The sequence below is a fragment of the Homo sapiens genome, chromosome 5, assembly GCF_000001405.40.
Source record: "Homo sapiens chromosome 5, GRCh38.p14 Primary Assembly".
NCBI lineage: Eukaryota > Metazoa > Chordata > Mammalia > Primates > Hominidae > Homo > Homo sapiens.
Genome location: NC_000005.10, coordinates 89,755,869 through 89,770,235, shown reverse-complemented (window position 1 = coordinate 89,770,235; position 14,367 = coordinate 89,755,869). Strand labels below are relative to the sequence as shown.

General features: G+C 32.9%; 1 long non-coding RNA gene across 2 annotated transcripts in view, besides 2 other annotated features; it reads right to left on the bottom strand.

Moving 5' to 3' along the window:
• The window catches only part of LINC02161 (long intergenic non-protein coding RNA 2161), a 213,063-nt gene that overhangs the window by 24,044 nt on the left and 174,652 nt on the right, over nt 1-14,367 (bottom strand). For both annotated transcript variants that reach the window (XR_948556.3, XR_948557.3), the window contains exon 2: nt 868-981. This is a non-coding gene — a long non-coding RNA (long intergenic non-protein coding RNA 2161). The remainder of the gene's footprint in view (nt 1-867; nt 982-14,367) is intronic.
• Nucleotides 11,757-11,957: a silencer, noted in NCBI's record as "peak5344 fragment used in MPRA reporter construct". NCBI's record gives its function as "represses an SCP1 promoter by STARR-seq MPRAs in K562 erythroleukemia cells {active_cell/tissue: K562}" and the evidence as "EXISTENCE:reporter gene assay evidence [ECO:0000049][PMID:32103011]".
• Nucleotides 12,967-13,167: a silencer, noted in NCBI's record as "peak5343 fragment used in MPRA reporter construct". NCBI's record gives its function as "represses an SCP1 promoter by STARR-seq MPRAs in K562 erythroleukemia cells {active_cell/tissue: K562}" and the evidence as "EXISTENCE:reporter gene assay evidence [ECO:0000049][PMID:32103011]".

Genomic DNA, 14,367 nt, shown 5'->3' with positions numbered 1-14,367 from the left:
AAACACACACAGGCTGGCTCTAGAAATCAGTGCTTGGCCACCACATGAACAGAGGTATTCCCATGAGTCATCTTCCTCTCCCTTCCCACAAGAAAGTTGACATATACATAGAAAGTAGATACTATTGCTCTCAGTCACACTAGTATACATTGCATATGATGAACAAAGTATTGTCCCTTAACTAAAACGTGACCATTAGCCTTAAAACTAGCTATGGGGTTATGATGATTATATTACTTACTTCTATTCTTCCCTCTCTCTATATACCCTCCCTCACTCTCTCCTCTGTTTTTCCTTCCCACTTTTATCTTTCTTCTTTTTCTGTATCAAATACATTGCAATATTTAAGAAGACAATTTACTAGTCAAGGGATTGAAAAAAGCCCTAAAATTCTGCAAATCAGAAAATAAGACATTTGATAACATGCTTTTGAAAATACTATTTTGTAAATATTAACTTAAGCATTATATACTCAATGTAAAAATGCCTTCTCTAGACTTTGAAGTACATCCTAAATTATCAGTAGTAGTCAATATGTGAGAGGAATCTGTTGGCCTTATTATTTTATGATCTAACTAAATTTTACTTTGGACTCTTCAGACAATTCTGTTAGGATGAGGAGAAATATGTATTTGTAATTTTCAGAATTAAAAAATGCTGGCAATTGTTTTCTCTAGTTACATGTACATATTTTCTATTCTGAGATTTTTGTTTCTTTTAAAAATGAAGAACGCCGTTTTTCAATACCCTCTTTTAGAAAGTAAAGAACCTTTTTCTGTTTAACTCTGTCTTTGGAAAGGGAAATTAGCAGCTGTAGAGCATTATTCATGCTCAGTCTGATTATATATCTAGAAAATGAAGTCTTACCTTAACTGTTTAATTAAAGATTGGAAGAAAATATTTAAGCAGGTGTTAATCAGGTATTTAAAAAAATATTGCATGCTCCAGCCTTTCCAGGTGCAGTTAAAGTTTTCTTTCCACCTACAAAATAAAACAAATAATAGATAGATAAAAGTCTATTTTGAGGCCTGGAAGTTCATTTCTTAAGGTTAAGTTCATTTCTTAAGAATCTTACGCTTATTACCAAACATATAGTGCTCGTTCTTTTTAAACAAACAATACATTTAAAATACCTTTACATCTTTATAATTAACCTTATTTATAATTGACATAAAGCACATTATTTTAAGCATATAATTTGACAAGTTTTAACATGTATACACCCATGAAACCATCACAGCAATAAAGATAATTAATACGGTATAACTTTTTACTTAAAATAAATAAACACAGAGAAAGTACACAAGATAAAGTTATACAACTCAATTATTTATCACAAAATGAACTATCAGCCATCATTTAGGTCAAGAAATAAAATAATGCCAATCCTGAAGATCCCCCTGTACCCTACCAATCACTACCTTCTATCTTACACAGGTAAACCCTAACCTAATTTTTTAGTAATTGTTTGTTTTTTTAAATAATTTTAGTAAATAATTTTGCATTTGTAAACTCTGTGGTTTAATTTTACCTGTTTTTAAATATACATAAAAGAAATTATATAGTATGTGATCTTCAATGTCTGACCCATTTTACTTCATATTATGTTTATGAGGATTGAATTTTATCAAATGATTTTTGTACATCCATGCAAATAATAATGTAATTGTTTTTTTCCTACATTTCATTAAATGGTTAAATTATACTGTTTTAATGTCAAGCCAATTTATGGAATTTATGGACTAAACCTAACTTGATTGACAGAGAGAGAGAGAGATTTAGATAGAGATATATTGTTATATTCCACTTGGTAATGTTTTGTTTAGAATTTTTATGTGACTGACCACAATATATTGGCTTCAGAAAATAAGAAATTAGAAAATATAGATGAATGGCAAAGTATAGAAGGCTTCCAGAACCAAAGATTTGAGCAAAAAGTTCCAGCAATAATTGACCAACCACTAAGATATGCTGACATAGAAGTGACCCCTCAACTGCCAGGCTTAAAAATAAAAACAATAATTACACACACACACAAAAAATCCCTGAAGAATCACTGGTAACAGTACAGCATGTGGGAGATAGACTCTAGAGGATTGCTCCAGGCAAGTCACTAAACAAAGCAAAACAAAAAACATAAACAATAAAACCTTCATGAAGTGGGAATAAGAATCCAGGATTGCTACAAAATATTATCTAAATTGTCCAGTTTCAAAAATCTTAATACAAGTGAAAAAACAGTAAAGTGATACTTATACACAAGAAACAAAAAAAAAGTCAATAAAAATTACTTATGGGGAATCCAGATGTTGGGCTTTGTTGTTGAAGACTTTAAAACAGCTATTATAAATATGTCCAGAGAAAATCATGTTAAAAAACTAAAGGAAGGTGTGACTACAATGACTCATCAAACAGAGTATCAATAAAAAGATAAAAATTATATAAAAGAGCCAAATGGAGCTTCCTTGTCTTGAGAAAGTGTATTAATCCATTCTCACACTGCTTAATAAAGACTTACCTGAGACTGAGTAATTTATAAAGGAAAGAGGTTTAATTGACTCACAGTTACACAGGGCTGGGAGGTCTCAGGAAACTTACGATCATGGCAGAAGGAGCAGCAAACACGTCCTTCACATGGTGGCAGGAAGGAGAAGTGCCAAGCAAAGAGGGAAAAGCCCCTTATAAAACCACCAGATCTTATGAGAACTCACTCACTGTTACCAGAACAGCATTGGGGACTGACCCCATGATTCAATTACCTCCCACTGGGCCCCTCCTACAACACGTGAGGATTATGGGAATTACAATACAAAATGAGATTTGGGTGGGGAAACAGGCAAACCACATAAAAAAGCACATCTAAAAAAAACCTAGCAGTAACAATGTACTTAATAATAAAAACAATAATTTTCCCCTAAGATCAGGAAGTAGGCAAAGATGTGCCCTCTCACTACATCTATCAAACATTATATTGGAGGATCTAGGCGGTACAATAGGGAAAAAGAAAAGAAAGACAAAGGAAAAATAAAATAAGTTAATTAAGGTAGAAATAAGAAGTTCTATAACTGATTTTATTTTCAGATGACATGACCCTATATGAAGAAAATATAAGGAATTCCTCCTAAAACCCATCAAAACTAATAAACAATTCCAGCAACATGTATCAATATATAAAAGTATATCAGCATATCTCAATAATATATAATTGCATCAATATAGAAAAATCAATTTTTATTTTTATACACTAACTATAGCCTATGAAATTAACTTTATAATGTAATATTCACAGAAGCATTAAAAGGAACAAAGTATTAAGGAATAATTTTTTTTAAAACTTGTAAAATTTATAAACTAAAATTTTGCAAATTTTTGTGCAGGAAAAATGAGATTTAAAAAATGAGAACACATTCCAAGTTCATGGACTGGAGTGCCCATGTTTTCAAGATGACAATTCTCCCCACATTGATCTGTAGATTCAATGCAACTTCTATCAACGTGTTAGTAAGACAGTTTTTGTGTGGATATCCACAAGATGATCCTAAAACTTACCTGGAAAAACAAAGGAGCAAGAATTAAATGCTTTTTCTAAACCAAGAACAAACTTGGAGGATTTACACACCCTGATATCAGAACATATTATCATAAAACTGGCATGAAAACAGAATGTAATGTAATGGGAAAAAAGAAAATGTAGAAATAAATCTTTATGATCAATTAATTTTTGACAAAATTGCTAAGGTGATACAATTGAAGAAGTATCTTTCAACAAATATTGTTGGGAAAATTAGTTATCTAGAAACAAAAAGATGGCATTAGACTCTGACCTCATGCCATACAAAAATACTAATGCAAAATGGATCATAGACCTAAACACAATAGCTTAAATGTTTAGAAGAAAACATAAAACCTTCATAACATTGTGTTAGAAAAAGAATTTCCAGATATAACACCAGAATGTTAGGAAAAAATAGATGAATAAGATTGATCATAATTAAAAGGTTTTGAGCTTTAATGATAGCTATGAACAAAGTGAAAAAAGCTCACACTATGGGTAGAAAATATTTGCAAATCACATATCCAACAAAGACAAATATCTAGAACATACAAAAAATTACTACAATTTAACAATTAAAAGACAAACCAATTTTTTTAAATGGGCAAAAAATTTGAAAAGAAATTTTTCTAAAGAAGATATGTAAATGGTTATTAGACAAATGAAAAGATCCTCAACATCATTATTCATTAAAAAAAATGCATATTAAACCCAGAATGAGGTCGCAGTTTATGCACACTAGTGGCTACAATAAAAGAGATAGACAATAATAAGTATTGGTGAGGATAAGGAGAAATTGAACCCTCATGCATTGCTGGTGAATTTAAAAACTAATGCAGCCACTTTGGAAAACAGTTTGAAATTTTCTCAAAATATTAAAGAAAAAGTTATAACGTAACCCAGTAATCCCACTTCTAAGTACATGCCCATGAAAATTTTTTAAAAAATATACATTTACACAAACACTATTATGCAAATGTTTATAGCAGCATTATTCATACACATTTGAGTTGTTTCCACTATTGGCTATTGTTCAACTGCTAATTGGCTATGAATAGTAGCCAATAGTGGAAACAACTCAAATATGTATCAACTGATAAATGGATAGTAAATGTGGTATATATATATACATACTGGAATATTATTCAGCTGTAAAAATGAATGAATACTGATACAAATTACCACATGGTTATGACCCTTGAATATATTATGCTAAGAGAAGGAAGCCAGATGCAAAAGATTGCATAGTGTATGGTTCCATGTATAGGAAATGTCCAAAAAGATGTATTTATAGGGACAGAAGGCATATTAGTGGTTGTCTGGGGCTGGAGGTGGGGTGAGAACATAAATTAACTGCAAAGAAAATGGACACAAGAAATTTTGGAAAGTGGCAAAACCCTCAAAATATTCTAAATTTTAATTGTGATAATTGAAGAGCTCTATGAATTTACTAAAAATGATTTAATTATGCTTTTAAAATAAGTAAATTTAAAATATATAAATTATACAATAATAAATCTGCTAGAAAACAATCTCAAAATAATTTTTGAAAGTCCTACATTAGAATTCAACATATTTCACCTCAACCACTTGTAAACATTTATTCCCTGCACCCCCATCTCAAACTGAAATGATTCCTAGTGTTGCAACGAGAAACTGTATGAAGTCATTGACTTGCATTTGAAAAAGAAATTTTTAAACACTGAAACACTGAGTTTGGTGAAATGTGAAGTTTCAAGATGCTGGGTAACTCTGAATTTGCTTCTCCCATATCACGCTTATTCCAAATTTAACTCTCTTGGAGGGAACGGCAGGTGAATTACCTCAAATTGGCAAACCATTACTTTTCTCCCATCTCCTCTTCCTTCCATCTTCCCTCCCTTCTTTCTTTATTGCCTTTCTTCTTAATTAACCTTATTCCTTTTTTTTTTTTTTTTTTTTTGCCAATCATGTATAGTAATATTTCTCTAAGTTAAGGGATTCTAATATGCCTCTACATTATATGTGTTTGTCTAGAAAACACATATATGTCTAGAAGATAACATATATCAACACCAAAATGTTTACTTGATAGTCATGTTTATTTCTACCTAGGTAGTATTTCTCTTGCTTTTTGTTTCTTTCTTTGAAAACTTCTGTTTTTTTTTTAAGATTTTTGGATCAAATATGTAGTTACTCCTGTAAGCCTTTTGGGGGGAAAATTAATAAATGCTATTTGTTAAGTGAATAATATACCTATAGTAACCAAATTAAACAAGTTAAAATAAATAAAATATATTTAGTTAACTAAAAATGCCTCAATTCAAAGATTCAAGGGAAATATTGCCACTGCATTGCACTCCAGCCTGGGTGACAGAGCAAGACTCTGTCTCAAAAAAAAAAATAGTGTTTATAAATTTTAAAATTTAATGTTATATTTGAGACAAAACATTAGAAAAGAAAATTTCATTTGTTTACATTTTTGATACACCAAGCTAGATTGTATAATATTGAATAATATGGAATCAGCTTTTCAAACATTTTTTATAAACTCTAACCAAACTGCATTATGCCAAGAACATTTTGCATTATTAATATCATGTGTCATTCAATGAAAGCTGATCCATATGTTTATGATTCATTTATAATTAAATCATCAAAATATTGATTTAAAAGCCATTTGATGTCTAAAAAGAAATGTTGGAGTTTTAAAAGCAAGTTTTGGCCGGGCGCAGTGGCTCACACCTGTAATCCCAGCACTGTGGGAGGCTGAGGCGGGTGGATCGTCTGAGGTCAGGAGTTTAAGACTAGCCTGGCCAACATAGTGAAAACCCTGTCTCTACTAAAAAATAAAAAGAAAAAAAGAAAAATTAGCTGGGCATGGCGGCGGGCACCTGTAATCTCAGCTACTTGGGAAGCTGAGGCAGGAAAATTGCTTGAACCTGGGAGACAGAGGTTGCAGTGAGCCGAGATCGCGCCACCGCACTCCCACCTGGGCAACAAGAGTGAAACTCTGTCTCAAAAAGTAAATGAATGAATGAATGAATGAATAAATAAATAAATAATAAAAGCAAATTTTTTAAATAAAAATTTTATAGAAGATTTAGGATTATTTTATAACTTTCAACAATAAATTTTTAGGCTTTTACCAAAATATTTACTATTACTTAAAAGGAGATAAATGTTTTTCTGGTTGAGTAACGTCTAATGATAATTATAAGAAAACATGAATAGAAATGTTACATTTCCTTTTTAAAAAAATTTTAGAGACAAGGTCTCACTTTATTACAAAATCTGTGGTGTACTGACATGCTCATAGCTGAACTCCTGGGTTCAAGCTATCCTCCCACCTCAACCTCTCATGTCTCTGGGATTACAGGTGTAAGCCACTGTACCCAGCCGTATTTCTACATTTGAACACTGGGCCCACATTTGTATAAGTTTTCATTTAAAAAATCTCTTTTCAGAATATTTTATACTTATAAAAAGAGATTCAGAACATTTTACACTTATTTAATTCATTAATAAATTTTGAAATTAAATCTTTAACTATTATTATCTAAATTCAGGTTTTGCACTGTTTCTTTGTTTGTTTTAATGCTCCTGGTGGTTTAAATTCCTCTCATCCCTCTCTCTCTTTTTTAAGTTACTGTGGAGATAACGCGACAATAATAATTCTCCCTGCCCCCAGATAACTTGATTCTGAATATGAGATAAAGTTGCTCTAACACTTTCATAAGCATGTGTCTATAAACACATTCATGTACTTTACGTGTTTGAAAACGTGATCACATGGGGAAATATTTGTCACAACACTTTCAATCAAAATATACCTATTCACATCTGGAAGAGCTAAAGCCTCTATAGCCTGATTCTATATAAATGTATAAATGAAGAGTCTGACTTCGTCAAAACTCTGCTGGTAAATCTTTGTAAAACTACAAAGATTATTTTGGAAGTGCCAACCATCTTAATTATGTTTTCTATCAGTTCATATCATGTCACAACACTAAAATACAAGACAAATAATAAGGTATTTTAGTGTTTGATAGTATTAATAATACTTAATACTATTAAACATGAATATTATTAAACATTATTTAAAATATACATTAGTGCTGTAAGTATGCCAGACATTGTGCTAAGGGCTTTAATGAGCCTCACAGCAATGAATGAACTTCAGAGCAATGATGAAATGCTCTCTTTGTCTCTCCTCCATTTTCTAAGTACTCAAAAAAGTCACTCTTCCAGATAACCTGATTTTTTCCATGAATACTTCCTTACAAGTCTTACATTTCTCTAATCATTAAATGTAAACTAAAGCTCAAAACTTATACTTATCATTTATACCTCATATGTATACATTATTTATTATAGCTATCTTACATTGCATCATATTCCCATAGATTTTATTTGAATAAAGTTTAGGGGCACCAGCTGTGGAGTTTAGCAGCCCTGGGTTCCTTCTTAACTTTAACACATTACTAGATGTGTCACCTTGCACAAGTTACAAAATGTTAAGTATCGATTTCTTTATGAAATAATAACTAATGGGGGGTTACTTTAAATATTAATGAGATAACTGGATAGCATAATTCCAGACACAGAGTAAGCTTTCAATAAATGGTGGTGTAGATTTATTAGATTGTGTGAGTTTATGTTATACTCCTTGTGCCTACCAAATTTTGAAGGCTTTAAAGGAATGATTATTAAGTTGGACGGGTAGATAGTGATGTTACTCTCTCATAGAGGCAGGTGAGTAATCCTAGAGGTTGTGTAAAATGCTCCTGATTCTTGTCCTGCCTCCTCTTATCCATCTCTGGATTAATTTTCTGAAAGACAATTTTCCAGTGTTGCATTTGATAACTATCCGATCATCTACATTTACTTGTTTTCTTAACTATTTTGAACAAATTTATAGTAAATTTTACTGCATAGGATAGTTTTAGTAACATTGAACTTCCCTGCAGTTTTATTTGATCAGTTCTCATTTTGTTTTCCTCACAGTATTTTTAGTACTTAATTTGTCTCCCCTTGACTACTTGTTGCTACAACTGGGTGGAACTGAGATGAAAAGTAGAGACCACACTTTGGATGCTAGGACTACTATCAGAGAACAAATCCTGGACTGGAGATTACAGTGGCAGAGAATTCAAGGGGGAGAAGGACCCAGTAAGATATTGCTCAAACCAGAATTTGCTTGAGAGGAAAAGGAATCACTAAAATAATTAACAAACATTATTTTATTTACCACAAGTGAAAAACCAGAACTGTCCTGGTCCAGAATGTCTGGTCACATTAACTAGGGACAGGTTGGAAGGGGGATTTATGGATGAGGGTTGGAGAAGAGGATATAGGGGAATTGAAAGAGGAAACTGAGATAATAAGATGTACAGAAGGAGGCAGAGCAGAGAGAACAAAAATCTGAAGGTCACAAGAATACATTCACAGAACTGTATTCAAAATATATACATAAGGATATACTCAAAGACCTATTCAACAGTATATTCTCTATGAATATATAAATACATTCTGCACAAAAATAATCTTCATGAAAATATTCTCCTCATGTATGTATATTTATGGATATATATTTCTGTTGGAGCAGAGAGAAATCAAGCATTCCTTAAGATATTGTATTGAAGAAAAATGGAAAAGTGAGAAAAACTTTACAGAAATATTAAAAAAGATAGTGAAACCATCCTATCAAATATAGATGGCTGTAATTTACTTTTTTAAGTTTAGTAAATAAAAGAATATTGGCCTTCGGGTGCAGTGGCTCACACCTGTAATCCCAGCACTTTGGGAGGCCGAGGCGGGCGAATCACAAGGTCAGGAGATTGAGACCATCCTGGCTAACACGGTGAAATCCCGTCTCTACTAAAAATACAAAAATTAGCTGGGCGTGGTGGCAGGCACCTGTAGTCCCAGCTACTTGGGAGGCTGAGGCAGGAGAATGGCATGAACCCAGGAGGTGGAGCTTGCAGTGAGCCGAGATTGCACCACTTCACTCCAGCCTGGGCAACAGAGCAAGAGTCCATCTCAAAAAAAAGAAAAAAAAAAGAATATTGGCCTTCAGTGAGTTAACTTCCAATGAATTTGCTTGTATTGAACAGACTTTCAGGGATTGGCCTAAGTTTTGTGTCTAGGTAAAAGTATTAAACATAATTCATATTAGAAATCAAAACTCATAAGAATTAAAAATGGGATTGATTTTAATTTTTGGTCATTTCCCATGAAATACTGGGATTGCTGTATTTCTTTCTCCATTGCCTACTCCAGTGGAAATCCTGCTGGGCAGGGAATTAACTAAAACAAAGGTTGGGGTGATATGGTAGAAATGTGGATAAAAGTGGGCAGGAAGCAAAAATTGGATTGGAATTCTCTACAAAGGCAGAGTAATCAGCTGCTTAACACAGAGCTGGAGAATTGTCTTCTGTGCACTGAATTTAAGTAGTTTAAATATCCTTAGGGATGGAAATATTTTCTTAGCATAAAACACAGGTGCATGTACTATACAGCCAAGGAAAAGCATTGGTAAACATTTGAACCTTCTTCCAATGGCCTAGTCCAGAGCCAAGCTTTCAATCTACATCAGTGACTTGGGCTTCTCATCATACTCAAATAGAGATGGGTTGTTTGCAATGTAATAAAAGGACGGCCTCAAAGTAATAAAAAGTCTCAGAGTAACATGAGGAATCTTTATGCAAAGGCAATGAGGGCTAAAATAATCTTCAAGGGAGTTGGCTATGTTTGTTCAGCAGCAAGAAGCTTTTAAATGGAAAATGTTCACTGGCTGTTTGTACTGGACAGTGATTTTTACATTCCAGTCATCTCACTTAGTCTCATTGGACCAGGTTCTTCCTTTTTAGGTGAAGAGGTAGTTGGCAGAATGTCTTTCCTGGCATAGAAGAGAGAAGAAACTTTTTGTTTTCATCTTTTCAGACTTTTCAAAGCTTTTATGCTTATGTCAGATTATGACAATAAAAGCAAGAAACAACAGATCACTAGTTTTTTGGGGGATAGGAAAAGTCCACTTCTGCTGAGAGTTCAGGATCTCTTTGGCCTTTTTGCCATGACAATGCATGTTCTTGTTTTTTACTTTCTTGTGCTGTTTCTCCCTGGACAGAACTGCATGTTCTTAAAACATGGGCAACATATTCTTCTTTTTCTCAATGAACAGTGGTCGTGACAGCAACCAGGGTGCCCTCTTCAAATAAGAAAAGCACTCATTTCCTATTTTGATTAATTTTACTTTTTGGAGAAACTGGTTCCTGAATCTTTCTCTCTCCCCATTAGAATGTGTGTTCCCAACAACTATGTGGTCATAAGAATCTTCACCAATATGCCTCCTTTCTTCTAGCATTCATAATATCTGCATAACAGCCAAATGACTGATTCTCTTCTCCCAATTCTGGCATTTTTGTCATCGTTATTGTTGACAGATATTTGGGGATTTATTTTTAGAACTACCTTGCCTTACTGTTTTCCTTGGTTTCTGGCTCATTTTGAACAGTTTCCTTTTGCAGTAGGGAGGGAGGGTGGGGATGTAGTGCTGTTTATATTGAGGCTGTAGCTTCTCTAATATTTGGATGAGGAGGTGGGAAGGAAGGGAAGGTTATGAGTGTTATGGAAATTAAATCATACAGAAGCATCTTTCCTTCCAAATTCTTTCTAAAAGCGTGCAATTCTGACTCCACCAACTATATATAAGAGTACTTAAAATACTGATGTTTAAAGAGTGATGATTTGACAATAAGAATGACAAATTTCAGTTAAACATAGTTGCCTTCCGGATGGGAGTGATCCACCTTTAATAGCAAGGAGGCTTTATGTCCATTTGGATTCACAATTGCAATGGACTCAGAAGAATCCCGTGTGTCCCATCATGTGATCATTTACTAACACAAATTGAAGCTTGTAAAATTTAATGAATAGCTATATTAAATCGTTCTCAAAGGAAAAATACCATTTTGCCAATGACATGTTTTGTCAAAAGTAAAAATCCACTTTAAGAAAATTTTTTCATCGAGTTAGTTTTTCCTGTAGTGGTATAATTTGAACAGAACAAGTTGACGTAATCGAGGTGCACAATAAAAGGGGAATAAAATAGTAGCACTAGCCTAAATTGGGCTGGATCTCTTCAACAAAGTAAGGATTGCAGGGTGCAAGCTGAAAAAACAACTACCCATTTTTTGCAGAACTTTAACTCCAGCATGAGGTGTGGTGGAGGTCCACAGGAAACCATTTTTTGGGGGGAAACAAACAATTATCCTGGACATGTGGTGAGGCAAAGAAATTGGAATTTGGCAGGCTTAATTGCATTAAATTTGCTCTGGGTGTAAAATATGTTAATTTGCCACTGTCTGGAAGAAATCATGGTGAGTCATTCACAGAACTACTTAGAATCTATTTCTGACATGTCTAAGTATCTATTGCTTTGGCCATTGCCTTTTCTCTTCACAAATCTACTTTTTAATAACATGTAAAAAAAGCAGGAAAAATTATTTTATCTTAGTCCACATGAAACAAATTTCAAGCAGAAATTCTTGAGTTGAACAAACAGCTGGTAAGATTTCATTTCTGTTCTGACATTATTTTGTATTTTCTGTTTGATCACAGTTTTTATGAAAAGGAGCAGGATCATTCTTTATTCTTGGTGATAATATAAATAATTTCTTCCCAATTTATTACTAAATCGGAACCATACTCTATTCATAAAATGAGCTCTCCCAATACTGAAAGATTTTATGTGTACTTTCTAAGCATTATTATTTCAGAATAATGTTAGGCAAATATCTATGTATTGAAGCAGAAGAGGATGTCTTGAAAGCGAAAAAAAATGAATCTAGTAGTTTAAAATAAGAATTCTATTTTATGATCTCAAAATATCTCCATAATTTGAAACATAACACCCCCAATACACAAATAACACAACTTCAGCAGATATCTCGAACCTTTTATCAAGAAGATCCCTTGCTGGGTCTTCAAAATTGCAGCATCTGAGCTAGTCTTTTACTAACCACACTTTATATAATTAATGCTAATCCTAAATTAAGCAATTTGAAAATAAAACATAAAAGTCTATTGGGTTTATAATCAGTCATTAAACAATTGACATTAAGCCATTAAATAAAGCAAATACAATGCTTTACTATTATGACAGAAGTAAAACAAAAATAACAGAATAAAACAGTATTTGGAAATATTGTTTAGCTATCTCTATCTTGGAAATAAAACACAGGTTCTCAAAATGCTGCCACCTTCCTACCTGTTTTCAGCTAGCAATGAACATGGAATTATAAAAATTTGCACACATAACGCTTGTCTCTTAAAATAGCACTAAACATATGTGAAGTCTCCAAATTAAAGCTTACCCCCAACCACCCCAACTCCAGAACATTGTAACCACAAACGCCTTGAGATATTGGCTGAATCATCCCCCTTTCCAAAACTGTCCATCTGTCTTTGAGAGTGGCTGTGATCCGGAGGCTCAAGTTGACTTACTCACTGAGCTGCCTGCCAGTTTAGATGCACTTTGTAGGTGGAAAATTGTTGGTCTTTGTCCCTCCCAGCTTGCAAGTAAAATGAAGCTGCCAAGAGATAAACACATTCTAAGTTTATCGTGCTATTCTTGGCCTCAAACTACAAGCCATAAGGCAACTATTGCTCAAGGTACCGTGTTTACAAGTGTTCAGTCCTCCGCTGTTTCAGAGACCCAACAAGATGGAATATCTTCCTGCCAGCCTATATTTTGTTTTTTTCTAAGCTTTCACATTTTTAAATTTCTTTTTTAAAAGGGGGAAATGGAGCAGCTTCCTTTAAAGCATTTTGAAGGTTTGAAGTCTTGTTAAAATTTTGATTATGATGTGTTTAGGTTTTTCCCACAGAAGCACAATAAGTTCCTAGTAAGACTGGACACTTCTTTCCATTATTATCAGTATTACTATATTTATTATTATTTTATTTAAAAGTCAACAATATGTGTACCAATTATTTCTATATAGGTCTTCTCAATTGTTGCCATTTACTATTTTCTTTATTCACTATTTTGACCTTTAACGCATTTATTATAATAAAACCCCTTTTTGCTTTTAATTGCTATTTTTTTTTCCTGCCTAGGTAGATATATTTAAAATAATGTGATCAGAGTTTGGTAATATTCTCAAAACCCCAAAAAAACATTTTTTTTTTTGAAAGAAGGAGTACTGAGTTACTGAGTTAACTTTTCTCACAAATGTCTTCCTGGCTGCATTGGATAACAGGATGTATTGAGTTCATACATCTTAAATATAAAAGAGGAGTATAGCTATATCACATCCTATATTGGCACAGTATATTGACATGTATTATGTATGATGTTACACTGTTTAAATTATTAGAAATCACATTAAAAGAAATTATAATAAGATAGGGCTTTTTACCAAATCTAGGATATTTGGCAAAGATATGATAATCAAGTTCAATCCTTGATTTACAAATAAGACTTTGAGCTCTCAGAGTTTTAGAACTATATTTTATACCGTGATTTCTTTGCATTTCATTAAAAGTATCATTTTCTTCAGAGTTCAGCATAGTACATAGATAATTTACCTATAGAAAAAGAGCTTAATTGGTTTTTTGGAGATGGGAGATAGTAATCCACAACCTGGAATTTTTTTAACATACTCTCACTAATCCGTTTTCATTCAATGATTTAATGCACTACAAATTAAATTCACTGACTACATGACCAGTGAAAATAATGTAATAAAAATTTACTTGTTCTAGTTTAAGTCTGAGGGTAGGGAAGGAAGATTTGCAACAATCTACCCTGGGAGATTGCAATAAAAATG